At 38.9% G+C, this 26741-nt stretch overlaps 1 protein-coding gene across 3 annotated transcripts in view, besides 2 other annotated features; it reads right to left on the bottom strand.

Annotated features, from left to right (window-relative positions):
* The window catches only part of BIRC2 (baculoviral IAP repeat containing 2), a 31457-nt gene extending 11173 nt beyond the window's left edge, over positions 1 to 20284 (bottom strand). The window contains exons 1-5 of one of the 3 annotated variants that reach the window (NM_001166.5): positions 20122 to 20284; positions 16749 to 18900; positions 16555 to 16654; positions 4524 to 4602; positions 3782 to 3830 (exon numbers count right to left, since the gene is read on the bottom strand). In NM_001166.5, coding sequence (NP_001157.1) covers positions 3782 to 3830; positions 4524 to 4602; positions 16555 to 16654; positions 16749 to 17643 — 1123 coding nt within the window. In that variant the 5' untranslated portion in view covers positions 17644 to 18900; positions 20122 to 20284. Of the gene's footprint in view, positions 1 to 3781; positions 3831 to 4523; positions 4603 to 16554; positions 16655 to 16748; positions 18901 to 19652 lie in introns of all 3 variants that reach the window. The other 2 variants (NM_001256166.2, NM_001256163.1) reach the window with 2 other exon arrangements.
* Positions 5998 to 6047: an enhancer, noted in NCBI's record as "active region_5441". NCBI's record gives its function as "activates an Ori minimal core promoter by ATAC-STARR-seq in GM12878 lymphoblastoid cells {active_cell/tissue: GM12878}" and the evidence as "EXISTENCE:reporter gene assay evidence [ECO:0000049][PMID:35858748]".
* Positions 19663 to 19732: an enhancer, noted in NCBI's record as "active region_5440". NCBI's record gives its function as "activates an Ori minimal core promoter by ATAC-STARR-seq in GM12878 lymphoblastoid cells {active_cell/tissue: GM12878}" and the evidence as "EXISTENCE:reporter gene assay evidence [ECO:0000049][PMID:35858748]".

The following is a 26741-nucleotide window of genomic DNA, read 5'->3' as shown; positions in this document are numbered from 1 at the left end:
TGTCCCCTCTTGTTCAAACACGCGTGGAATCCGTGTCCGAAGAAATGGCACCAGAACAAAGATTTAAATAACAAGGAATGAGCTCTATTTCATTTTTAAGCGCATGCCTTGAGGAAATACTTTATGTTCAAGATAAGAGACACATTAGAGGATCATTACAGCAATATTTACAGCAGAAAAAAAAAAACAGAAAATAACAGGAATAGCTCTCAATAGGGAATGGATAAATAAAATGCAATATATGCTGGACTACTGTGAAAAAATTTAAAAATATACAAACGAACTAAACTGGTATATACCTAGCCCATGCTACTGAGCTCTGGGTATTAGAAGTTAGAAACAGAACTGTATGTAAGCATCAGAGGGGAATTTGGCATTGCCTACAGCATTTAGTTTTCTTTCCCTTATGAAGAATGTATACATCTATTACATGTAAAATTATTAATACTGGGGGGAAAAAGGAGTGAGCTATGGAAATATCTCAAAGAAGTCTTCTAAGCAAAGAGAACAGCAAGTGTAAAAACCTTAAATTGAGGGAAAAGCTTGACATGATCAAGAAACAGAAAGAAGGTGGTAGAAGGTAAAAAAAGGAGGACAATGCCCAGATAAGCAGAGGCTTCCTAAGAGTTTATATTTTATTCTAAGTTTGGTAGAATATTCTAGGAGTGTTTCAAGCATGCAACTGATAAAACTTGACTTGTGTTTTCAGAAGATGACTCTGGCAGCTCGGTGGAGATGTTACTTTAATGGGGTAAACCAGAATCAGGAAGACTTGTTAGGATGTTAGACACAGATGACGGTAGTTTGGATTAGGTTAATAGTGGTGGAGGGCCGGGCATGGTGGCTCATGCCTGTAATCCCAGCACTTTGGGAGCCAAGGCGGGCGGATCATGAGGTGAGGAGATCGAGACCATCCTGGCTAATCCAGTGAAACCCCATCTCTACTAAAAAAAAATACAAAAAATTAGCCGGGCGTGGTGGTGGGCGCCTGTAGTCCCAGCTACCTGGGAGGCTGAGGCAAGAGAATGGCGTGAACCCGGCGGGTGGAGCTTCCAGTGAGCCAAAATTGCGCCACTGCACTCCAGCCTGGGCAACAGAGCAAGACTCCATCTCAAAAAAAAAAAACAGTGGTGGAGATGGTGAGATGTAGTCAGATTTGGCATATGTTATGAAGACAGAAATGAAAAGACTTCTGATAGATTAAATATACAAACTAAAGGAAGGAGAGGAATCAGAGATGATGCCTAACTTGAGCCAACTTTTAATGCTGGGAAATGAGTACCATTAACTGAGATGGGGAAGACCAAAGAAGGAACAAATCTGAGGGATGAAGAATGGGGAAGAAAATTTCCGGTTTGGTCATATTAACTCTACAATGTCTGTTACAGCCAAGTAGAGATTTAAACAGTTAGCTGGACATTCCAGCTTGGGGCTCAGGAAATGGAGAAATAAATTTAAGCTGAGCTATGAGGGGTACTCCAACATTTTGAAGTTTGAAAAAGGAGCAGCCAACAAAGGAAATTGTTCAGGACCAACCAGGGAAATAGAAAACCAAGAGTATGGGGTCTGATAAGTCAAGCAAAAAATGTGTCTTAAGAAAGATGAGGCCAAATGCAGTGGCTCATGCCTGCAATCCCAGCACTATGGGAGGCCGAGGCAGGCAGATTGCTTAAGCTCAAGAGTTTGAGACCAGCCTGGGCAACATGGTGAAACCCTGTATCTACAAACACACACACACACACACACACACACACTTAGCTGAATGTGATGGTGCATGCCTGTAGTCCCAGCTACTTGGGAGGCTGAGGTGAGAGAATCACCTGAGCCAGGGAAGTTAAGGCTGCAGTGAGCCATGATGGCACCTAACCACACTACAGCCTGGGTGACAAAGTGAGACCTTGTTTCACAAAAAGAAAAAACAACGACAAAGCACCCAGTGATTATCAAATGCTAATTAACAGGTCAAGTAGTGGATTTGCTAACACGGCAGTCCCTGGTTACCATGACAAGAACAGTTTCTAGCAGAACAAGTGAAAGAATGAAAGGTGAGGAAGTAAAACAGAGTTAAGCACAGATAAATCTTCCTAGGTATTTTGTTGTAAAGGGAAGCAGAGTAATAAGGTAATAGCTGAATGGGGACATTCATTCATGGAAATTTTCCTAGGATTAGCAAAAGTACATTATGTTTATATGCTAACATGAGTGATTCAGGAGAGGTGGAAAAATTGAAGACTCGAGAGAAAGGGTATGTCACTGCCAAAGTAACCTTCTTAAGTTGACAGTAGGGGATGGAATACAGAGGACAAGTAGAAGTAATGGCCTTAGAAAAGGGCAAGGACAATTCATCTTTTATGAACAAACAGAAAAGTACAAGGATAAATTATGTAGCCTAGTGGTTTTGCTGGTGAGGCAATAAAGCAGCTCTCTTTTGGATTCTATTTTCTTAGGGAAGCAAGATTATAAACTGACAGTAAGGTGGGAAGAGAGTGTTAGAAAATTATCAAGACAGAAAACAAGAAACAGTCATTTTAAAGATTGACAAAGTGATTTTATTAGGACCTATGGTAGAACTGCAGGGCAGCCTACTTAATAGCAGTGGTTATAAATTTTAAGAACAGCCCACACTGCTATCTATCTTTTCTAGGTCTATTACACGGGAGATAGTTGTCATGTACCCAGGTACTCTCCTTCCTATTTTCCAGTACTCTCCTTCCTATTTTCCAGTCAAATACTACCAAATCCTTCATCCAATCCTCCTGAGCCATGGTTTCTAAGACTCATACATCTTGGTCACCTTTCTCTGGTCCAGTTAACAAATCTGCCAATCTTTCTTGAAATGCTGTGCCACAAACAGAATGGCCCTTTGTAGATGTGATTGGCACATAAAACGGGATTACTACCTTAGCCATTTTAGACACAATAACATATGTATATTACATAAATTGACAGATGTGGCTAACATTAAGCTCTAATCAAAAGCTATACTATTTCCTGCCCTTGCACTGAAATACAACATACCTGACTTAAATACCTAACATCTAGTCCAATTCTTGAATCATATGTGAATTGACGTTTTCCAAATCATGCCAACTCACAGCAAACTCTTCTTTTCTGGAGGGTTTATTATTTGCACCGCTTATTTGGCATTGCTTTGAACTATTTTTTGTTTTTCTTTTGCTTATGTCTCATTTCTCCAGTTGGAATGTCAGCACTAAAAGTGATAAGTATAGCACTAGAACAAAAACTAGTACACTTTTAGGGTCCTCCACAGTGTCATTACACTCTCTCTCTCTCTCTCTCTCTCTCTCTCTGTGTGTGTGTGTATATATATATATATATATATATATATATATATATAATATTTATTAGCTGACTTCCCAGTATTTTTCCCTATGGCTTCAGAAACTCTTTTAAAAAATACATACTTTCATTCCTACCTTTTTTTTTGGAGATGGAGTTTCGCTCTGTTGCCCAGGATGGAGTGCAATGGCATAATCTCAGTTCACTGCAACCTCCACCTCCTGGGTTCAAGCAATTCTCCTGCCTCAGCCTCCCGAGTAGCTGAGACTACAGGCACATCACACCCGGCTAAGTTTTGTATTTTTAGTAGATGGAGTTTTACTATGTTGGCCAGGCTGGTCTCGAACTCCTGACCTCAGGTGATCTGTCAACCTCGGCCTCTCAAAGTGTTGGGATTACAGGCATGAGCCACTGCACCCAGCCTATTCCTAAAATTCTTATAAAAATTTACACTCTATACTTAAAATTATCTCATACATACTTGGTGGGTCAGCATTTTCTTCTCCAGTGGTATCTGAAGTTGACAACAGCTATGAAACAAGAGAAAAGTTAATAGGTAAAAGCAGATATCCCCAACAATCTGAAAAGAACAACACTAAAATAAGCTTACTTTAAGTAAATGTATATGTTCTTTTGAGAACTGAGTGATTTATGACCTTTGCTTTGCTTTCTTTTACCCTAATCACATAGATTTCCTTAAATTTCATGTCATCCCAAATTAGAAATCAAGTATTTCTCTAGTTTCAGGAAAGTAGAAAAATGTATCAGTGGTTTCTCATTTCATTTGGAAAATAAGATTTTAACTGGGTTACTCTCCAAGGGTCTCAGCTCCTAACAAGTTATTTTTTGTTTGTTTTTCTGGAAAACAGCAAAGAGACACTAAAGATCCTTCTCCAATCCCATCACAAATTTGTACAGTGGCAGCATAAATGATTTTTCAAAATAGTAAAAACAAAAAAACAATCTTTTTTAAAAAGCCCTCAAAAATCAAGTTGGTTACAAAAGTAAAAACCAAAGATGTCATTAACATGGATGAAAGTATGTACCTACAATTAATAAAAGAGAAATAAGCATAACTTCTAATATAGGTTGGTACAAAAGTGATCACGGTTTTGGCCATGACTTTCAATGGCAAAAATCATGATCACTTTTATACCAACCTAATAATATTTTTGTTATTATAAAGCAGAATTCAATGTTGTTAATTTTAAAAATGTATTTACCTGTTCAAGAAGATGAGGATATCTACCTTGAATCTCATCAACAAACTCTTGGCCTTTCATTCGTATCAAGAACTCACACCTAAAACATATGAGGAAAATTATTTTTTAAAATTGTTTCATATCAAATATAACCTGATCATTCTAGAAAAATGGCTTTCAAATCTTTCATTGTACTCCATAGTAAAAACATTTTACGTCACAACCCAGAACACATACATATCTAACAGGAACAAAATTATCATAAAACAATATACATCCTTCTGTGTGTTATATATCACGGTATTTTCTAATTCAATCCATTAACACAACAACAAAAAGAAAAGCGTCTGCACCTACAAAGGGGAACAAGTTGACTCCTGAAGAACACTATTATACACAATCTATTTTGTGCTTAAAGTGAACTACTTAACAGTTTCAGATACTATTAACTCAGTATTCCTAAAATGTGATCTTTCACAATACAATAACTGCTCATTTTTCTTCAATGTTCACTCTTCCATTACATTTGAGCCAGAATCCACTACCTTCCCTCCAAAAAATATGGAATCAAATATTTTTATCTATATATAATATGACAGTGTTTCTCAAATATTTGTTTTTAAACTGATAGGGCTTCTCAAAGATGTTCCAAGAAGTTCACATACCATCTATATCTATTCTATTCCTTTTGTTTCTTCAATAAATGATACTATACAACAGAATATTCATATGTTAAAAAAAAGGAACACTGACCTATGCCCATATTATATGCAAAAATAGTAAAAATGGATCATATACCTAAATATAAAACCAAAAACAATAAAACTTCTAGGAAAAAGCCTTGTCTTTATTTGTCTTTACATTGGGTAAAGAATTATTAGACAAAAGACCAAAAACATATTCCACAAAAGATAAAATTGATAAATTGACATCATCAAAATTGAAAACATCTGCTCTTCAAAAGACAATGTTAAAGAAATGAAAAGCCGCAGACTGAAAGTTTGCAAGAGTGACATCAGCAAGACAGCAGACTAGGAGACATCAGCCTTCTTCCACCCACAAAAAACAACAAACAGACAGCTATACACAAATACAGCTCTGGAAGAACTCACTAGCCCAATCAGCCTACAGCAATAAAGGGAAAAAAAAAAAAAAGGGAGAATAACCACACAGAAAGGACTGCTGGGAGATCTGCTTAGCAGAGACATCTGGAGATGGCTAAGAACAAGGGGTGAGGGCTACCTGTATCAGTCATGTGGTGAGTGCCATTACAGTCCTCAGTGGCAAAGACTGCTAGGCTCCTCCCCAGAGCAGGTCCCTGGAGACCTCCAATAACCCTCAAGATAGCCACAGACTTCCTGCAGGTTTCACAGTGAAGGACCCTATAGTGTTCATTGATGCCAACCCCAGTAGCCTACTTTGCAGAGGACACTGACAGCTTTCACCATTAAGGTAACCAGCACCCATTGCTGCTGTGAACCCCCTGGAGAGGGAGACACTACTGCACTCCTCACCCTGAAAAAAAGCAGCTCTTGCACTGCCCAGACAGTGCAGCCCCTAACCCCCACATATGCCCCAGACCCCAGAGCCACAGCTGCTTCACATGTACCTTCATGTAAGACCTTTGCTCTGTGGCTGCTCTAATCACACACTCTCCAGATCCCAGCTCTCTGGCTGCTCTGCACACCTGCACTCCGCACCCAACTCAAAGGCTGCTCTACGTGCACCCACATCTGAGGCACTAGAAGCACCACTGCTGCAGGCTAGTCAACATCCTGAACCCAAGACCCGCTGTCTTTCTGCAAACACTTGCACTCCAAACCTTGGCTCTGTAGCTGCTCCACAGGTGTCCACGCCATCAGAGACATCAGTGCTGCCACCTCCACCAACACAACAAGCCCAAAGCCAGAACCTGTGCCAAGAAGAATCCCCTTGGCCACAATGTCTCCCATGGGAGAAAAAGTGATGAAGAGGTCCCCAGCAGCCTCTGCCACTATAGACTAAAAAAAGCCTTGCTGCTGGTATGGATACCTGCAGCCTTGGATGTTGAGGACCCCTGCAATCCTCACTGACAATGATCTGGGCTAATGGAGCTGCATGGAGTTCACAATGCTGGGCCTTCCACAGAGCCAGAACCACCACACCTACTGGCTGGCGCCCTCACCCTCACCCTCACCCACAGGCAAAGATCTTTGCCCACAAAAAAAAAAACAAAAAAAACACACTAATCTGTAATGTCTAGAAGTAATTCGTCCATCAAATACACAGATAACACAAGGCCACAAGAAACAGAAAGAAAAAAAAAAAAAGAAACGTGACATTAGCAAAGAAACTCAGTAATTTTCCAGTAATCACCCACAAAGAAATGGAGATCTATGAACTAACAGATAAAGAATTCAAAATAATTGTTTCAAGCAAACTCAGTGAGCTACAAAAGAACACAGATAATGAAATAAAAAAATATATACAAACAAATGAGAAATTCAACACAGAGATAGGAATAATAAAAAGAAACAAATTCGGGAGCTGAAGAACATAACAACAAAAAATGCAATAGAGAGCATCAATAGCAGACCTGATCAAGCAGAAGAACCTGTGAACTCAAAGGCAGATCATGTGAAATTATCTAGTCAGAGGAGAAAAAAAGAAAAAAAAAAGAATAGTGGAGAAAGCCTACCTGAATTATAGGACACCATCAAGCAAAACAATATTTGCATTTTAAGAATTCAAGGCCAGGCACGATGGCTCACACCTGTAATCCAGCACTTTGGGAGGTTGAGGCGGGTGGATCACATGAAGTCAGGGGTTCAAGACCAGCCTGGCCAACATGGCAAAACCCCGTCTCTACTAAAAATACAAAAATTAGCTGGGCATGGTGGTGCACACCTGTAGTCCCAGCTACGTGGGAGGCTGAGGCAGGAGAATCACTTGAACCTGGGAGGTGGAGGTTGCAGTGAGCTGAGATCATGCCACTGCACTCCAGCCTGGGTGACAGAACAAGACACCATCAAAAAAAAAAACCCAAGAAAATGAAAAACAAACCCGAGAATTCAAGAAGGAAAAGAGAGAAAGGACAGAAAGCTGATTTAAAAAAAAAATGCTGAAAACTTCATAAATCTAGGGAAAGATATCCAGGTACAGGAAGTTCATAGGACCCCATAAAGATTCAACCCAAAGAAGACTTCACTGACACACATTATAATGAACTGGCAAAAATAGAAGATGAAAGAGAATTTTAAAACTGTAACAGAAAAGAAACTCATCTTCTACAAGAGAAACCCTATAAGACCACAAGTGGATTTCTCTGCAAAAACCTTGTAGGCCAGGAGAGAGTTGGATGATATATTCAAAGTGCTGAAAGACAAAACTACCAGACAAGAATATGTATCCCAGCAAAGCTGTCCTTCAGAAATGAAAGAGATATAAACAGTCCCAGACAAACAAAAGCTGAGGGAGTTTATCACCACTGGACGCGCCTTACAAGAAACGCTGAAGAGTTCTCCAAGCTGAAATGAAAGGACACTAATTAGCAACATGGAAACATATGAAAGTATGAAACTCACTGTTAAGATAAATATATAATCAAATTAATAATATACTAAATTTGTAATGGTCATGTGTAAATTACTTAATTCTAAAATACAGGTTTTTAAAAAAAAGTATTAAAAATAACTATAGCTTCAATAATTTTTTCATGAATACACAATATAAAATGCAAATAATGACATCAAAAACATAAAATATGTGCAGGAGGGTCTGAGTAACAGTACAGTTTTTTAATGCAATTGAAATTAAGTTGTTAGTGCTTGAAACAGACTACTATAACTATAAGATGTTCTATGTAAACCTCATGATAGCCACAAAGTAGAAACCAATAGTAGATGCACAAAAGATATAAAGGAATCAAAGCATACCACCACAGAAAATCATCTAAACACAAGGGAAGACAGCAAGAGAGGAAGAAACAAATAATCTGCCAAACAATCAGAAAACAATTACAAAATGACAGAAGTCTTTACCCATCAATAGTTACCTTGAATGTAAATGGGCCAAATTCTCCTATCAAAAGATAAAGAGCAGCTGAATGGATAAAGAAAACAAGATTCAGCTACAGGTTGTCTACAAGAGACTCAATTCACCTTTAAGCACATGCATGGGTATAGGAAAAAAGATATTCCATGCAAATGGAAACCAAAAGAGAGCAGAGGAAGCTAAAGTTTTATCAGATAGGGCAGACTTTACATCAAAAACTGTAAAAAGAGTCAGAGAAAGTAATTATATAATGAGAAAGGGGCCAATTCCACAAGAGGATACAGTATCTGTAAATATATATATGTACCCAACATCAGACCACCTAAATAAACAGAGAAAATATTAACAGATCTGAAGACATTAATAGATAGTAACACAATAATACTAGAAGACTTCAAAAATCCTACTTTCAATAATGGATGGGTCATCCAGACAGAAAATCAGTAAGGAAATATTGGACTTCAACTATACACTGGATCTAATGGATCTAACATACAGGTTGAATATTCCTTATCTGAAATGCTTGGGACTAGAAGTGTTTTGAATTTTACATTTTTTAGATTTGGGAATACCTGCCTTATGTTTACCAGCTGAGCATCCCTAATCCAAAAATGCAAAACCAAAAATGTTCCAAAGAGCATTTCCTTTCAGCATCATGTTGGTACTCAAAAAGTTTTAAATTTTGGAACATTTTGGATTTTGGATTTTTGGATTGGGGATACTCAACCTTTATACAGAACATTCCATCAAACAGCAGATAATACACATTCTTCTTAAGCACACAAGAAAAATTATCCAGCGTAGATCATGCAGCAGGTCACAAAACAAGACTCAACAAACTGAGGAAGACTGAAATCCTATCAAGTATCTTTTCAGACCACAATGGTATGTAACCAGAAATCAATAACAGAATGAAAGTTGGAAAGCTGACAACTATGTGGAAATTGAACAAAATACTCCTGAATAATCAATGGGTCAAAGAAGAAATCAAAAAGAAAATTTTAAAAAATCACAAGAAATATTAAAATTGAAATGCGACATAGCAAAATGTATAGAACAAATGCAGTTCTAAAAGGAAAGTTTATAGCAATAATCGCCTATATTTAAAAAAAATCTTAAATAAACACCGTAATTTTACATCTAAAGGAACTAGAAAAAGTTAGCAGAAGGAAATAACAAAATCTCATGAAATAGAGACTACAAAAACAATAGAAAAGACCACTAAAACTAAGAGCTGGATTTTGAAAAGATAAGTAAAATCAACAAAGCTTTAGTTTGACTAGTAAAAAGGAAGACGAAAATAAATAAAATCAAAACCAAGAGATGTTACCATTGATAACACAGAAACGCAAATGACCATAAGAGACTACCATGAACAATTATTCACCAAAAAACTGTATAACCTAGAAGAAATGGATGCATTCCTAGAAACTTGTAATTTATCAAGACTAAAATAAAGAAGAAATAGAAGATCTGAAAAGACTTATAACTAGTAAGGAGATTGAATCAGTAGTCATAACTCTTCTGACAAAGAAAAAGCCCAGGAACAGATGACCTCATAGCACAGTTCTATCAAGAAGAAGAAAGAAGAAGAAAGGAAGAGGAGGAGAAGAAGGAAGAGGAGGAGGAGGAGGAAAGAAGGAGGAAGAAGAAAGAAAAGGGAGGAGGAGGAAGAAGGAAGAAGAGGGAGGGAAGAGGGAGTAAGGAGGGAGGAGGGGGGAATACTTCCAAACTCATTTTATGAAGCCAAGCATTACTCTGATACCAAAGCCAGACCAGGACAACACAAGAAAAGAAAATTATATGCCAATAGCCCTGATGAGCACAGATGCAAAAATCCTCAACAAATACTAGCAAACCGAATTCAGCAGCCTACTAGAAGAATCATATATCAAGTGAGATTTATCCCTGAGATGCAAGGATGGTATGACATATGCAAATCAATAAATGTGATACCACACATTGACAAAATGAAGGATAAAAATCATATAACCAGCCAGGTGCAGTGGCTCACGCCTGTAATCCCAGCAGTTTGGGAGGCCAAGATGGGTGGATCACCTGAGGTCAGGAGTTTGAGACCAGCCTGGTGAAACCCCATCTCTACTAAAAATACAAAAATTAGCTGGGTGTGGTGGCATGCACCTGTGGTCCCACCTACTCGGGAGGCTGAGGCAGGAGAATCACTTGAACCCAGGAGGCAGAGGTTGCAGTGAACTGAGATTGCATCACTGCACTCCAGCCTGGGTGACAGAGCAACACTCCATCTCAAAAAAAAAAAAAAAATTAATAATAATAATAATAATATAAACATCTCAACAGACACAGAAAAAGCATTTGACAAAATTCAACACCCTTTCAGGATAAAAATTCTCACCAATTTAGCTATAGAAGGAATATACCTCAACATAAGGACCATAAATGGCAAGTGCACAGTTAACATCATACTCGATAATGAAAACCTGAAAGCTGGCCGGGTGCAGTGGCTCACGCCTCTAATCCCAGCAATTTGGGAGGCTGAGGCAGGTGGATCACGAGGTCAGGAGTTGGAGACCAGCCTGGCCAACATGGTGAAACGCCATCTCTACTAAGAAATTACAAAAATGAGCTGGGTGCAGTGGCACGCACCTGTAATCCCAGCTACTCGGGAGGCTGGGGCAGGAGAATCACTTGAACCCAGGAGGTGGAGGTTGCAGTGAGCTCAGATTGCGCCACTGCATTCTAGCCTGGGCAACAGAGCAAAATTCCATCTCAAAAAAAAAAAAAAAAAAGCTTTCAGCTTTTCCACTAACATGAGGAACGAGACAAGGGTGCTTACTCTTGCCACGTCTATTCAATATAATACTGGAAGGGTTAGCCAGAGCAATTAAGCAAGAAAAAGAAAAAGGCATCCAAATCAGACTGGAAGAAGTCAAACTCTCTGTTTGCAGATGACATAATCTTATATATATAGAAAACCCTAAAGATGCCACCAAAAACAGTTAAAACTAATAAACCATCCAGAAGTTGTAGGATACAAAACCAACTTACAAAAGTCAGTACTAACAATGAACTATCTGAAAGAGAACTTAAGAAAGTAATCCCATGTACAACAGCACCAAAACAATAAAATACTTAGGAATAAATTTAACCAAGGAGGTAAAAGAGAAACACAATGAAAAACATATGACACTGATAAAGGAAACTGAAAATGACAGAAATAAATTTTTAAACAATCTCGTGTTCTTAAATTATAAGAATATTGTTAAAATGTTCATACTACCCATAACATTCTACAGATTCAATATAATCCCTACCAAAATTCCAATGACTTTTTTATCACAGAAATAGAAAAACCAATCATAAAATTTGTACGGAACTTAAGGCCCAGAATAGCCTAAGCAATCTTGAGAAAAAACAAACAAAAAAAACAACTGGAGGCATCATACTTCCTAATTTCAAGCTATATTACAAAGCTACAGTAATCAAAACAATATGATACTAGCATAAAAACAAAGACATACACCAACAGAACAGAGAGCCCAGAAATAAAGCCACATATACAATCAATTAATCTTTGACAAGGGCACAAAGAACACACAATGTTGAAATGATAAGTCTCTTTAACAAACGGTGTTGGGAAAACTGGATATCCAACACCGTTTTTATGTAAAACAATAAAACCAGACCTCTATCTTATACCACCTACAAAAATTAACTAGAAATGGATTAAAGACTAAACATAAATCCAGAAACCATAAAATTCCTTAAAGAAAACGTAGGCTAAAAAGCTCCTTGGCACTGGTCTTGGCAATAATGTTTTGGGTATGACACCAAAAGCACAGGCAACCAAAACAAAAATAAACTGCGACTACAACAAGCTAAAAAGCTTCTGCTCAGCAAAGGAAACAATCGACAAAATAAAAAGGCAACCTACAGAATGGGAGAAAATATTTGCAAATTATACATTTGATAAGGAGTTAATATCTAAAATATTTAAGGAACTTATACAACTCAATAGCAAAAAAAAAAAAAAAAAAAAACCCAAATAATTCAGGTTAGAAAACGGGCAAAGGACCTGAACAGAAATTTTCCCAAAGATATACAAATGGCCAACAGGTACATGAAAAGGTGTTCAATGTCACTGATCATCAGGGAAATGCAAATTAAAACCAAAATGAAATATCACCTCCCACCTGTAATGATGCCTTATTATCATCGGAGACAAGAAATAACAAAAGTTGGCAAAGATGTGAAGAAAAGGGAACCCTTGACCATTGTTGGTAATTTACTACTGTCATTATGGAAAACAGTATAGAGGTTGCTCAAAAAACTAAAAATAGAATTAGCATATGATCTAGCAATCCCACTTCTGTGTACATATCTGAAGGAAATGAAATCAGTATCTCAGAGATATCTCTACTCCCATGTTCAAGCAGCTATATGGAAACAACTTAAGTGTCTACTAAGGGATGAATGGGGGATGAGCCTGGCTGGGCGTGGTGGTTCACGCCTATAATCCCATCCACTCCGGGTGGATCACTTGAGATCAGGAGTCTGAGACCAGCCTGGCCAACATGGTGAAACCCCGTCTCTACAAAAACAGAGTAATTAGCCGGACATGATGGCAGGTGCCTATAATGTCAGCTACTCAAGAGGCTGAGGCAGGAGAATCGCTTGAAGCCAGGAGGTGGAGATTGCAGTGAGCCTAGATGGTGCCACTGCACTCCAACCTGGACAACAGAGTGAGACTCCATCTCAAAATAAATAAAATAAAATAAAATCCTACCATCTGCAACATGAATGAACCTGGAAGGCATTATGCCAAGTGAAATATGCCAGAGAAAGACAAATACAACTGGCCCTTGAACAACACAGGTTTGAACTGCACATGTCCATTTACACCCAGATTTTTCTCAACCAAATGCAGATCACATTTGCAGATGTGAAACCCACATATTTGGAGGGCTGAATTTTGGATGCACAGGTTCTGCAGAGTCAACTTCTGGACTTCAGTATGTGCGAATTTTGGTATACATGGGGGTCCTAGAACCAGTCCTCCGAGCATACCAAGGGACAACTATACTGTATGGTAACCAAACTCACAGAAACAGAGAGTAGAATGCTGGTTGCCAGGGATAAGGGGGTAGGTGAAATGGGAAGATGTTGGTTAAAGAACACAAACTTTCTGAGGATCTAATGTACAGCACATGGTGACTATAGCTAATAATACTGGACCTTATACCTGAAATTTGCGAAAGAGCATCTTTTAAGAGTTCTCACCAAAAAAAAAAAAAAAAAAAAAAAAGAAAGTTACTACATAAGGTGATGGATTTACTGAGATTAAAGATTATTCCCAGTTGAAATGTGGGCTGGGCTCAGTGGCTCATGCCTGTAAGCCCAGCACTTTGGGAGGCCAAGGCAGGCAGATCACTTGAGGTCAGAAGTTTGAGACTAGACTGGCCAACATAGCGAAACTGCGTCTCTACTAAAAATACAAAAACTACTGAGTGTGGTGGCGTGTGCCTATAATTCCAGCTACTCGGGGGGCTGAGGCTTGAACCCAGGAGGTGGAGGTTGCAGTGAACTGCCATCTTGCCACTGCACTCCAGCAGTGATAGGTGATGGAATGAGACACTGTCTCAAAAAAATAAAAAAAAGGAAAAAAGAAATGTGTTGTTTTCAGAGAAGCATTTACAAAACACGCCCCTACATCTTCTCCCTTAATCATTTAAAACAAAACACAAGTTACAAAAATAAAGATTTTGATTTTGTTTTATAAGGTACAAAATGTAGCAGTTCCAACACTGGAATTTGGAAGCTGTTTTTGTCTTTGATACCACAACATGGATTAAATTTCAAATTAATGTATATAATCCCATAGAGCCCAACATAATTAAGTCATTTAAAAGTCTGATAAAACATGCTTTTTAATTTTAAACATAATTAATAATTTAGTCATTTTTCAGTGTAAAAAAGTCAAAATTTATCTTGATATATTATTAATATTAATAACTTTAAAATACAACTTTTAACAATGTACTGATCCATAATAAAGTATTTGTTACTTCAAGTTTCTTTTTCATCATATATCATACAAAATGACGAAAACTTTTTAAATTTCCTGAAGGGGTTCAAGAGATTCTTCATTATTGTGAAAGACACTCACAGGTAAAAACATAATCTGTGATGTATGATTCCACTTATATATGATGCCTAGAGTAGTCAAATTCATAGAGACAGAAATAGAATGGTGCGGCAGGGGGCAGTGGCTCATGCCTGTAATCCCAGCACTTTCGGAGGCAAAGGTGAGCAGATCACTTGAGCTCAGGAGTTCAAGACCAGCCTGGCCAACATGGTGAAACCCTGTCTCTACTAAAAACCCTGTCTCTACTAAAAATACAAAAAAATTAACCAGGCATGGTGGCAGGCACCTATAATCCCAGCTACTCAGGAGGCTGAGGCAGGAGAATCGCTTGAACCTGGGAGGTGGAGGTTGCAGTGAGCCAAGATCGTGTCACTGCACTCCAGCCTGGATGACAGAGTGAGACTCCACCTCAAAAAAACAAACAAGGGCTGGACGCGGTGGCTCACGCCTGTAATCCCAGCACTTTGGGAGGCTGAGGTGGGTGGATCACGAGGTCAGGAGATCGAGACCATCCTGTCTAACATGGTGAAATCCCATCTCTACTAAAAAGTACAAAAAATTAGCCGGGCGTGGCAGCGGGCGCCTGTAGTCCCAGCTACTCGGGAGGCTGAGGCAGGAGAATGGCGTGAACCCGGGAGGTGGAGCTTACAGTGAGCCGAGATCGCGCCACTGCTCTCCAGCCTGGGTGACAGAGTGAGACTCCGTCTCAAAAAAAACAAAACAAAAAAAAAAAAAAAGAGAAAGACAATGGTGGTTGCCAGGATGTTGGGGAATGGGATAATGGTGAATTAGTACTTGATGGGTAGACAGTTTCAGTTTGGGAAGATGCAAAGGTTCTGGAGATGGATAGCGGTATAATCGCAGAACGGTTAAGAATGTACTTAATGACACACAACTATACACTTAAAAAATGGTTAAGATGGTAAATGTTATGCCTATTTTATCACTATTTTAAAAAATTATCTAGGCCAACCCCTCCTCATTTTACAAACAACGTCCAAGTTCACATAGCTACTCAATTACAAAGACAATTTAATTCTATTTCTACTAATAACACTGCCCCTAAATTATTTCTAGGCTATAATAAAAAAAGACACTGCTAGAGACAAAGTGGCTAAAAGGAGGTAAATGACAAAAAAAAATTGTACAGAAAAAATAATTTACAATTACAATTAAAATGGGCAGTCAGATATGCTTTTTTCTTTTTTTTTTTTTTTTTTTTTTTGAGACAGAGTCTTGCTCTGTTACCCAGGCTGGAGTTCAGTGGCACAATCCTGGCTCACTGCAGCCTCCGCCTCCTGAGCTCAAGCGATTCTCCTGTCTCAGCCTCCCGAGAAGCTGGGACTACGGCCACGCGCCACCACGCCCAGCTAGTTTTTGTATTTTTAGTACATACGGGGTTTCACCATGTTGGTCAGGCTGGTCTCAAACTCCTGACCTCAGGTGATCCACCTATCTCGGCCTCCCAAAGTGCTGGGATTACAGGTGTGAGCCACCACGCCCATCTAAGATATGCTCTTAATACATGGACTTTTACATTTGACTTATTCCTGCATCCATTCTATGTCCCTTCTTGTTTTCCTGTTCTTACCTTTTTCTAACGTCTTTTTAATCTATTTTATATGTCTTTGTAATCCTTAAGTACTCTTTAAAAGAAATGGGAAATAAATAAAATGTACGGTCATACTTGTAACTGACTTACAAAAGTACACAGAAGACTGCAGAATATTTTTCAACAAAATAATTAAAGTTAAAATGTGATCTTTTAGAAGGATAATTCCCCAATGGCATAAAAGAGGCTTTGTTATAATTTAAAGGTAAACAAAATCATGTAGGCATGCCTACTTCTTTTAAGCACAGAGTTTTTTGTACAAATACCTTTTTCAAAACAATTACCTTGGAAACCACTTGGCATGTTCTACCCATGGATCATCTCCAGATTCCCAACACCTCAAGCCACCATCACAACAAAAGCATTTGACATCATCATTGCGACCTTCAGGAAAAAAAAGACTAAATATTGAAAACACGTATGTTCTAATATGTAAATTAAAATAAAATGATAAAATGTATAGTTATTTGCTTCTTACCCACATAATAAAAACCAGCACTTGCAAGCTGCTCAGGCTGAACTGGAACACTAGATGGCCAGTACATAAATGTTCTCATTCGAGCTGCATGTGTCTGCATGCTCAGATTTGAAATGCTAAACCTCAGAGTTTCTAGAGAATTTTCCAAAAATGGACAGTTGGGAAAATGCCTCCGGTGTTCTGACATAGCATCATCCTTTGGTTCCCAGTTACTGAGCTTCCCACCACAGGCAAAGCAGGCTACCCTATCTCCAGGTCCTATATAATAAAAACCAGCTCTTGCCAATTCTGATGGTGACAAAAAAGTTAATGGCCACATATGGTAGGTAAGAAATCTGGCTTCTTCAGTACTCATTGCATAACTGTAGGGGTTAGTCCTCGATGAAGAGATGTCTTCAACTGCTCTAGAATTAAGAGGGTTTGGAGAAAGGCTGGAGTAAGAACCACTGAACAAGCTACTATGTTCCAAGGTGGGAGATAATGAATGTGCAAAACTGTTTCTCATTGGAGACGTATTCTTAGAGGTGGATCCCAGACTAGCTGAAACCAGATTCTGAATAAAGCTACAGCTAGGATATAGCTGTTTATGCTTTTGAATAGGACTGTCTCCTAGTTTCCAGTTATCCAGCATCAGGCCACAACAGAAGCATTTGACCTTGTCATTCACACCAGTATAATAAAAACCAGCACGAGCAAGACTCCTTTCTGAGACAGGCACCCCGGCGGGGAAAGTTGAATATGTAGACATTCTGTAGAGTTCACAGGAAAAGTCATACTTCATTTTTTGTTTGTTGCTGTTTGTCCAATCTGACAAGATCGTGCTATCTTCCATTATACTCTTAATGTTTTGATACGAGGGACCTGGGAAAAGTCTTTGGGAGGCAGTTTTGTGCATGAGTAGGTGACAGTACTGTTTGATAGCTAAAACATTCACATGAAATTTCTTCACATGAACTAAGATTTTTACCACAAAAAGAAATCAATGATAGACTCTTATGTAGAATTTACTACACTTTCTTTACTGGATTTATCTCAGTTTATATTCAGGTAGGATGAGTATCTCTCTGAATTACCAAGATACTACTTAGAACACAACTCTTTGGGGTTGTAGTAACTCTTTCAGGTAACCTAAGTGCTATTTGTTCATAATCTTGAGTAATACTAACTTAAAGCCCTGAAAGGTGGATGCACTTCTGAAAATATTAAAACTCCTTGATTTTTCACAGAGATTTATATTAACAAAATTCTAAGCAACTATAGAATACCTAAATTATGCCTTTTATTTATATTTGGTTACAAGCTATGAAGCCTGAATAACAGACCAATTACTGATTATGCCACAAGGTAAAAAATTATATGCAGGCTTCTTTCCCTATAAGCACTTTAACATGACAACCCAAAAAATCTCATTTTATTCCAATAAACAAAAGTAATTAAAACCTTCATATGGTCACACTATTTAAAAGCTAAGTTCACACAGCTTATCATCATAGTATTTACTTAAGTGGGCTAAATTACTTCAGCTGACAACTTTTGGGGGAAGTCAATACCCACAAGCTTTGTTGAACCTGTGCCTGCTATAGTGCTTGATGTCAAATGAATTTGGCTTAAAGTTCAAAAACTGTAAACTCTATCTTTGTTAAATATCATTTGTATTTGTTTCCATTTCCTGCAGCATCATGTTGACTTTCTTCCTAACTTTGTATACCACTATTATTCTTGATCAACTGAAGGTATTTTCTCCATAAACTTAGTTAGCCATAAAATTTCCACAGCACACTTTTTACACTGCATTTAAAAACTAAATAACCTGTTCATCATTTAAGGACTATTCAGCTATAATTATCAGTCATGTTGTAAACATTAATCAATTTATCACAAGATAAAACTTGTCCTTTCTAGTGTTATCAGAAACGCCTAACAAAATATTGTACTACCAAAAAAGTACTGCTTAGCATAAAGTATCAGTAATCAACTCTACTAGCCTTCTTTCTGAAAACTCTTCAATGTTTTAAAAATATAATTCATACACAAAATTACACTCCATAGAATTCAAACTATATCCCTTTATAAAGTTTCGAGATCTCCATAATGGGATTTATTACTGCAGGGGGACAAAATAGGGATAGGGAGATTCTTCAGGGTTGTAAATCTGAAAAGAAAAAACAAAAAGTATTTTAGAAAACTGTATGTGCATGCCAAATAGAACTTACATACTCTTCAATTTATTCAGTAAAGTCTAAGAATAATTCACACTTTAGATAATACATCTTAATTCCAGCAATTTGTCACAACTTTCTAAATGAAAAAGCTATTAATTAAAATAAGTAAATGCAACATACTCCCCATAGCACTAACTATACGTGTCTTTAAAACGCACAACTTCAGAGACAGATGGAAATTTTCACACAGGAAACATTTTGTCCTTGCTCTCCTCCCCTTTTCTGGCCTAAAGGTAACTCTGGCACTCTGCTGGAGGCAAAGGCACATTGGTTAAAAAGACAGACAGACACTCCACTACACCCTGTCAGCAGCAGTACAGCAGGAATTAAGACAGCAACGTTAGTTTGTAATATCAAGTCTCTCCACGACTAGGAAAACTGCAGTAAAATGCACCACGAGTTCATTAATATAAACTCTTAAACTCTGCCATTCCCTTACAATTTCAAAGCAACGACCACAGAAAGCAACTCGAAAACAAAACCTAACACAGTGGCCTGTGAAACAGTGGCTCCGGCACTACGACCACTGGCATGATTGCTTTAATTACACCCGGTCTTATATCCTATCTTTAAATGAAAGATTTTTATCTACGTGCACCGCACTGCTGCATTCTCTTTACGCAAATTGCAGCTGGGCAGGGGATAGGATGGAAGGGAAAAGAATAGAAACTATGGGATTTACCCAATAATTTCCCAGAGTTGCTTCTCACAATACACAACAGACGACTACTGGAATGACAGAGCGCAGTGGCAACTATGAAATATGAAATATCGCCGCCACCGAAATATCTTCGTTTCAATGTATTACATTAAAAGAACGCCGAGGGCTAAGTTTAAAACCTTGCAAAAACTGCGAGAAAACATCTTGGTCAAAGTCCAAGGGCCAGAAGAGTGGGCGGCGGCCAGAGGCTTGAAAACAAGTCATTTTAAAAATCGCTTTGACTGCAAGTCTCGAAGTTGGGGCTTCCGAATCCAATAAAACCTTGGCGAGAGTAGAAAGCAGAGAGCCCCCGGCGACCCTCGACCCTTGGCCGAAGGGCCTCAGGCCCCGTCCTTCCTCGTTCGCCGCCACATCAGGGAAGTGGGCCCCCGCGGGCCCTCGCGTCCCCACCCGCCCCACGCCGCCCGAGCCCGGAAGGAGCAGCACTCACCGCAGTGCGGGCGCAGCAAACACGGAAGCTGCGCGGCTGCCTAGAGGCCTCCGCAGAGCCGGGAATCAGCGGCGCCGACAAGGAGATACGGCCCGCTCGGCTCGGATCAGCCCGGGCGCTCCCGAAGCCCGCCGCCCCATCCGGGCTCACTCTGACGCACGATGACGTCAGCGCGCCCGGCCGAGGACCAGCGTTAGCCGCCGCGCGAGGGCGCCCGGGAGGCTGGGGCCGGAAAGCGGAACCGAGAGCGCTTTCCGCCGTGCGGCGATGAACCTCCGGGAAAGACGCTGGGAGGCCAGGATGCCCGGCGCAACTGGACGCTCATCGGGAGTCACGGGGTCGGCCCTCAGGGGAACGGGGACTATCCGTATCAACTCGGTGTTTGTTCGTTTTCTTCACCTTGCGGTTTGTGCCCTCTCCACATTTCCTCTCTGTGTCTACCATTCTCCTGGGGGACGTGGCAAACCGTGAGCCGCTGCGTTTGAGTTTTGGGAAACCCTGCGGAAACGCCCTGGCGCCGGTGGTTTTGCGCGTCCTACCCTGTGTCACCTCAGGGTTATGATCTGGCCCCTGGCAAGGCTCCCCAAGTGTGATGCCTCCCCCCGTCCAGATGACTGCATTTTGAGGATGGAGTCAGTCTGGTGGCATTTTTTGCTTAAGTAAACAATTGTAACCGTTTGTGTAGCATCAGCGTTCAACAGCTGCCTGTGCAAATCGAAAAAAGCGAAACTTTGGAAACTAGGAAGCATCAGATGAATAATTCTGAAGACTTGATGTCAACGGGAGTATCTTGTTTTTAAACTTTTGGTTTTCTGTTCTGGAGACAAACAGTTCATATGCACTAAAGAAAAAAGTGTCATTATTTCAGATGCTCATTGCCAGCAAAGAGAACTGTATTGCAAGTCAGGCTTCACTCCCAGTATTTTCTGAATGTTTCAATAAAATGAAATATATACGTCTGCCTGTGTATTGGTGTACATGCACATATAATTGTACATAAACCAGAGAGGAGCCCAATTTTTTTTAATGCTTAGGTAATAGAAAATTTGTAAATAAAAACCCTTGGCTTTTGCTAGTCATGGACCTTTTGTATCCCCCCGCCATACTCCCCCAATAGTGCCATAGACACAGTGTCGTGCAGTAAATGTTTGTGGTATGACAACCAACGAACGACTTTTGAAGTTGACGCTCTTTGCCCGTTGAATCCGATGCTTGCTTCTCTCTGGGGAACTCCAAGGGGCAAATATTTAAAAAACTTCCAAATAGCAAGCCACTTAATTAGGGAGCCGGGGGAATTCCAAGACCCTGAACCATTTCCCATTTCCTGTCTGTGTCATTTCTGCCTGCCAGTCAGTCACAGAACAGGAGGTCTACTGTTCCAATGTTAATAGTCAAAGAAAGTGAGTGTAACAGTTTGTAATACAGAGAAAAGAAATGCCATGGCTCCCAATGACTAAAAACTTCCAAAAATGCACCTGGGGCTTGGTAGTAGTTTAGTATTTAGTTCAAGTCACTATTTCTCGGAAGGTTTACAGAACATTCCTAACACATGTGGGAAAATATATATAGCAAGAATTGTTCATTCTGAACTCAAGATTATTTCTCTTTTTCAGTTCTTGTCCTGACCAAAGCAGTAAGATAATGAATATACTTAAGTATAGGGGAAAGCTTGCATTTCAAAAACTCAAAAGCCTTAGATATTTTTAACAAAAAATATTTGTAATATTTACATATAATAAATAGTACCTCATAACTTTTAATCTTGTATAACTTTGTAGTCTAGTGTTACAGCTAGTTAATTCAGTTACCTGTTTATTCAGTTAATTTTTTTTCATTTTGCTAGTATAAAGTTGCTGTTAATCTTAAAAAAATAAGCTATGTATGTCTGCTGCAGTTGCCCTTCTAACGTTTTTCACATTTATGTAGAAAAAAAATTTACAGTATTTAAAACAATTTTGAAGAAGAAAAGTAAGATTGGAAGGTCTTGTCCTACCAGGTAATGAGTTACAATAAAGCCATAGTAATTGAGACAGTCTTGTATTATTAAACGCCCTAAGATGGACAATTAAAGGAAGGAGATACAGAGCCCCAAGAAGAGACCCATATCTATGTATTTGGGAATTTGATATACTGGCATTATGTATTAATGAGAAAATGATTAATTACTCAATAAGTAATGCTGAATGAATGGTTATTCTAATGGAAAATAAAATTAGATCACTACCATATACTATTTAAAAATCTCTGCCGGATTTTTTTTAAAAACCCTCAAAAGTAAACAGCCATCATTATGAATCCAGGGATTTAAAGAAGTTTGGTGAGTTGTAATCCACTGTAGCTATTACCACTATTAGTGCTCAAGTTGTTTATTTTAGGCCGGTGAGAGTTTACTCAGGTTGGCTCCTGAGTCTTTCTGATACTTTCCTAGTAGTCTTTGCTTTCCAGGCTCATTTTGTGTATTTCTTACTCCATACCCATAATAAGCCATTACTCCTAAGTGCCCTGGATCCTTTAGTGGGAAATGATATTTAAAGAGCATAATCTGGATGTCTCCTTTAAGCTGGCGCTGCAAGGAACAACAAAGAAACAAACAAAAAATGTTTGTCGTGTTGTTAATGAGTTTGATTGTTTCTATACCTGTTCAATGGACAGAGCTGGTTAGTATGGGTTTGTTTTGATTTGGTTTTTGTCTTTTAAATCAAATATATTATGAACTCATTGATACTTCCGATTCAAATTCAGGAAGTCAAGGTTTTATTTAACCTCTTTGATTACACATCTGTAACTCCCTTTATTTTGAAAATCCTTGGTCTCCCCTCTACTTTTTCCTTCCTGCCCTATAAGTAATGACTTAAACACTTTTTATGATTCATTTTTTCATTTTAAAAATGTAATTATGCATGTTTATACCTACCCTTTTCTTAGATAAACAGTAGTAGCACATTTTCTCCACCTTTTTTCACTTTATAATAAATTCTAGAGATTGTATAATACTAACATATAGAGCTATTCCTCATTTCTATATAGTACTCCATTGTGTAGATGTGCCATAATATATTCAACTTGAACAATGTAATTCAGAAAGCAGCCAAAAACTGTTAGGGCCGTGTCAAAGACTAAGGAGCCAGCCTGAATAAGCTCCCCAGCCATAGATAAAATTAGTACCATAATATATTCAGCTACTTCCCTATGGATGGACATCTGGGTGGTTTCCAGCCTTTTGCTATTACAAATAGTGCTGTAATGAATAATCATGGGAACACATCTTATTTTAGGATATATTCCCAGAAGTTAGTTCAAATGGTAAATCCATACATAAATTTGCCTAATATGGCCACATACCCATCCATGAGTATGTTGGCATTTTGCAATCCAATCAGCAATGTATGTGAGTGCCTGTTTTTCCCACAGCTTCATCCGTGGAGTAAGTTGTCAGACATTTGGATTGTTGCCAACCTGTTAAATAATAAATAGTATTTCAGTTCAGTTACCATTTTTTATTGCTATATTATGAATGGGATTGAAAAACTTTTCCTATGCATCAATTGTATATGTAATGTTTTATTTATTTTTTAAGTTAGGTGAGTATAAAAGAATGTTAGGATTGGTTGTGAGGTATTGTTAAAGAAAAAAAAATTCTGACGTTTGTTAAAATGGTAAGGAAGACTTTATTCAGGACTGTGCAATCAAAACATTGTAATAGGGAAGCAAGATTGGGCTCAACTGGGAATACAGCAAGGACAGCTGGGGTATTTATAACCAACAGGTAGAGTAAGGAGGGTCAGTGGATAGAAAAGTACTAAAAGGAGACATCAGGGGTGGTAGGATTCTTGCTGAAGGCAGGCTAAGGGCTTATACTTCAGAAGTGGAGAATGAGGAACTTGATCAGATACCCAGAGTGGCGGGATCCTCACTAAACTGACAGGATTCTTATTAAGACTGAGGTAGGCCGACAATTACAGGTGGGGTAGGGCCCAAAGTCAAGGCCTAGTCAAGAAGAGGGCTCAGAAGAGGCTCAGAAGTTTGGTCAAAGAGATAGTCTTTGTCAGTATGTACACAAATGACATGCATATATTCCTGAATTTTTGAATTTTTTAAAAAATTCAAATAGGACATTAAGAACTTACAAATTTGGGTCACATCAGAACTTCCCTTTCCAACTTTTAGTCACTTGCAGGCATCCCAAGCATTATGTTTTCATCTGTTTAAAAAAAAAAAGTCACTTTATATTTCTGTGGTAAGACTTTGGGTTTTAATTTTCATAAAACCCTTCATTAGGGTTTTGGAACTAGAGAGGATCCAATAGCTCCCTTGATTTAATCAGTTTATTTTGTATATGAGCACTCAGCCAAGGTAATTGCTAAAAAGATTTTTATAGATAATATTGAGACTCTTAAAATCCAAGACAGCTTTAAAATGTTGGCATCTGTATCAAAAGTCAGGTTTTAAAAATTTACAGAAATATTATTTAAAGGCTTAATTAGTAAACCTTAATAATTTAATGTAAATTAGAATTTCAGCAACTCCAGTTTCAAAAATCAATGAATTAAAAGTTAGGAAAATAAAGGTGTTAAAGACGGCCTGAGTATATTGGGCGCATATTGTTTGCTTCTTCACGTCAGTCTGGGACCATTAGCTCAAAACTTACCTTATCTAAGCTCAAAATTTTATCCATGTAATTGCTCAAATGTAGCTCCGATGGGCCGGGTGCAGTGGCTTACGCCTGTAATCACGGCACTTTGGGAGGCCAAGGCAGGCAGATTGCCTGAGGTCAGGAGTTTGAGACCAGCCTGGCCAACATGGTGAAACCCCATCTCTACTAAAAATTACAAAAATTATCCGGGCATGGTGGTGCATGCCTGTAGTCCCAGCTACTTGGGAGGCTGAGGCAGGAGAATCTCTTCAACCCAGGAGGTGGAGGTTGCAGTGAGACATTGCACTCCAGCCTGGGATACAGAGCAACACTCCATCTCAAAGAAAAAAAAAAGTATATATATATATATATATATATATATATATATATATATATATACATACACACACACACACACACACACACACACACACATAGCTCAGATGGCCATGTTTTTAGCCATTTAGAGTCTGCCTGCTAGCCAAAGATAAAACCGTACCTGGCATCTGTTAACCAAAGATAAGACAAAGCATAGAGCTATAAAAGACCCCAAACCTCTGCTGCCCTTCCAAGTTCTCTAACTCAGAGACTCCCTATCTTATCTTGTAGCTGTACAACATCCTAGACAGATAAACCCCATTTCTGCTTCTCCCCTACCCCAGGAGTAGTTCCCTTGCCTTCTTCCCCTTCTGCATGGTGGCCATACACCTCTGCCTCTGGAAGGTGTCCAGCTGTGAGGGATGTCCTCCTTACATGCAGTCTGTCAAGCACCACCCAAATAAAGCTTGTTGCATGCTACTGCCACCTTGTGGTCACATCTCTTCTTTGATCAGCCCCAAAATCCTTGAACTCAGAAAAACCTTATGTTTAGGAGAAAATAGTCACAAGAAATACTGACAAACACAAGGCAGAGAGGACCTTGTTCTTCCTGTACATATTTCCTGTCAAGGAAGGAAAAAAGAATTCTAGGATCCCAAAAGCCGATGGAAGTCCAGGAAAAGCCTTTCCTATGGATTTCCAGAAGGCAATCATGCAAGGGACTAAGCCCACAGAGGCACAGAGATGTTAAATAATTGCCCAAGCTTACTCTGCTGTGATTGGAATCCGAAGACTGAACTTTCAATTCCTGTGCTACTGCCTCTCCTAAATTACAGTGTCTCAAATCAGATAATGAATATAGACACTTAGTACATTTGAGTTCCATAAATATCAAGCTGGGCGTGGTGGCTCACGCCTGTAATCCCGGCACTTTGGGAGGCTGAGGTGGGTGGATCACTGGAAGCCAGGATTTCAAGACCAGCCTGGCCAACATGACGAAACCCCGTCTCTACTAAAAATACAAAAACCAGGTGTGGTGATGCACACCTGTAATCCCAGCAACTTGGGAGGCTGAGGCATGAGAATTACTTGAGCCTGGGAGTCGGAGGTTGCAGTGAGCTGAGATCACACCATTGCACTCCAGCCTGGGCAACAGAGTTAGACTCTGTCTCAAAAACAAGAACAAAACAAAATACCAAAAGTAAATAAATGTCAGTTAATTGTTGTTATTAAGATTCTAATGCCTATATCTGTACCTTATGCTCTTTCCAGAGTTGAAATGCCATGCCTCCTCATCAGAAATCAGTTCCAATTCCCATCTCCTACATGAATCCTTTTAAACTAGGGTGATCTTTCCTCTCTAAAGATTCCTTTTGATATCTAAAGGCAGAATTTGGCCCATGATCTACTTTATCAATTATTCTGCCTTAGTACTTTATCAGCAGTGGTATTTAAAGAGGAAGAAATCTCTCACATTCCATGTTCACTCACAGGAAGCCATTCATTCATTCATTTACTCAATAAGGGTCTTTTCTGTCAGGCCCTGTGCTCAGTGCTACACATATAATGGTGAACAGAAAACATGATTATTGTCCTCGTGGAAAATTTGACAACAGACTATGGCATTAAAAACTGTAAATATAAATTGTGTTAAGTGTTATGAAGAAAA

Source organism: Homo sapiens, chromosome 11, assembly GCF_000001405.40.
Source record: "Homo sapiens chromosome 11, GRCh38.p14 Primary Assembly".
Lineage (NCBI taxonomy): Eukaryota > Metazoa > Chordata > Mammalia > Primates > Hominidae > Homo > Homo sapiens.
The sequence above is the reverse complement of the archived record's forward strand: the minus strand, read 5'-3'. Positions and strand labels throughout refer to the sequence as shown.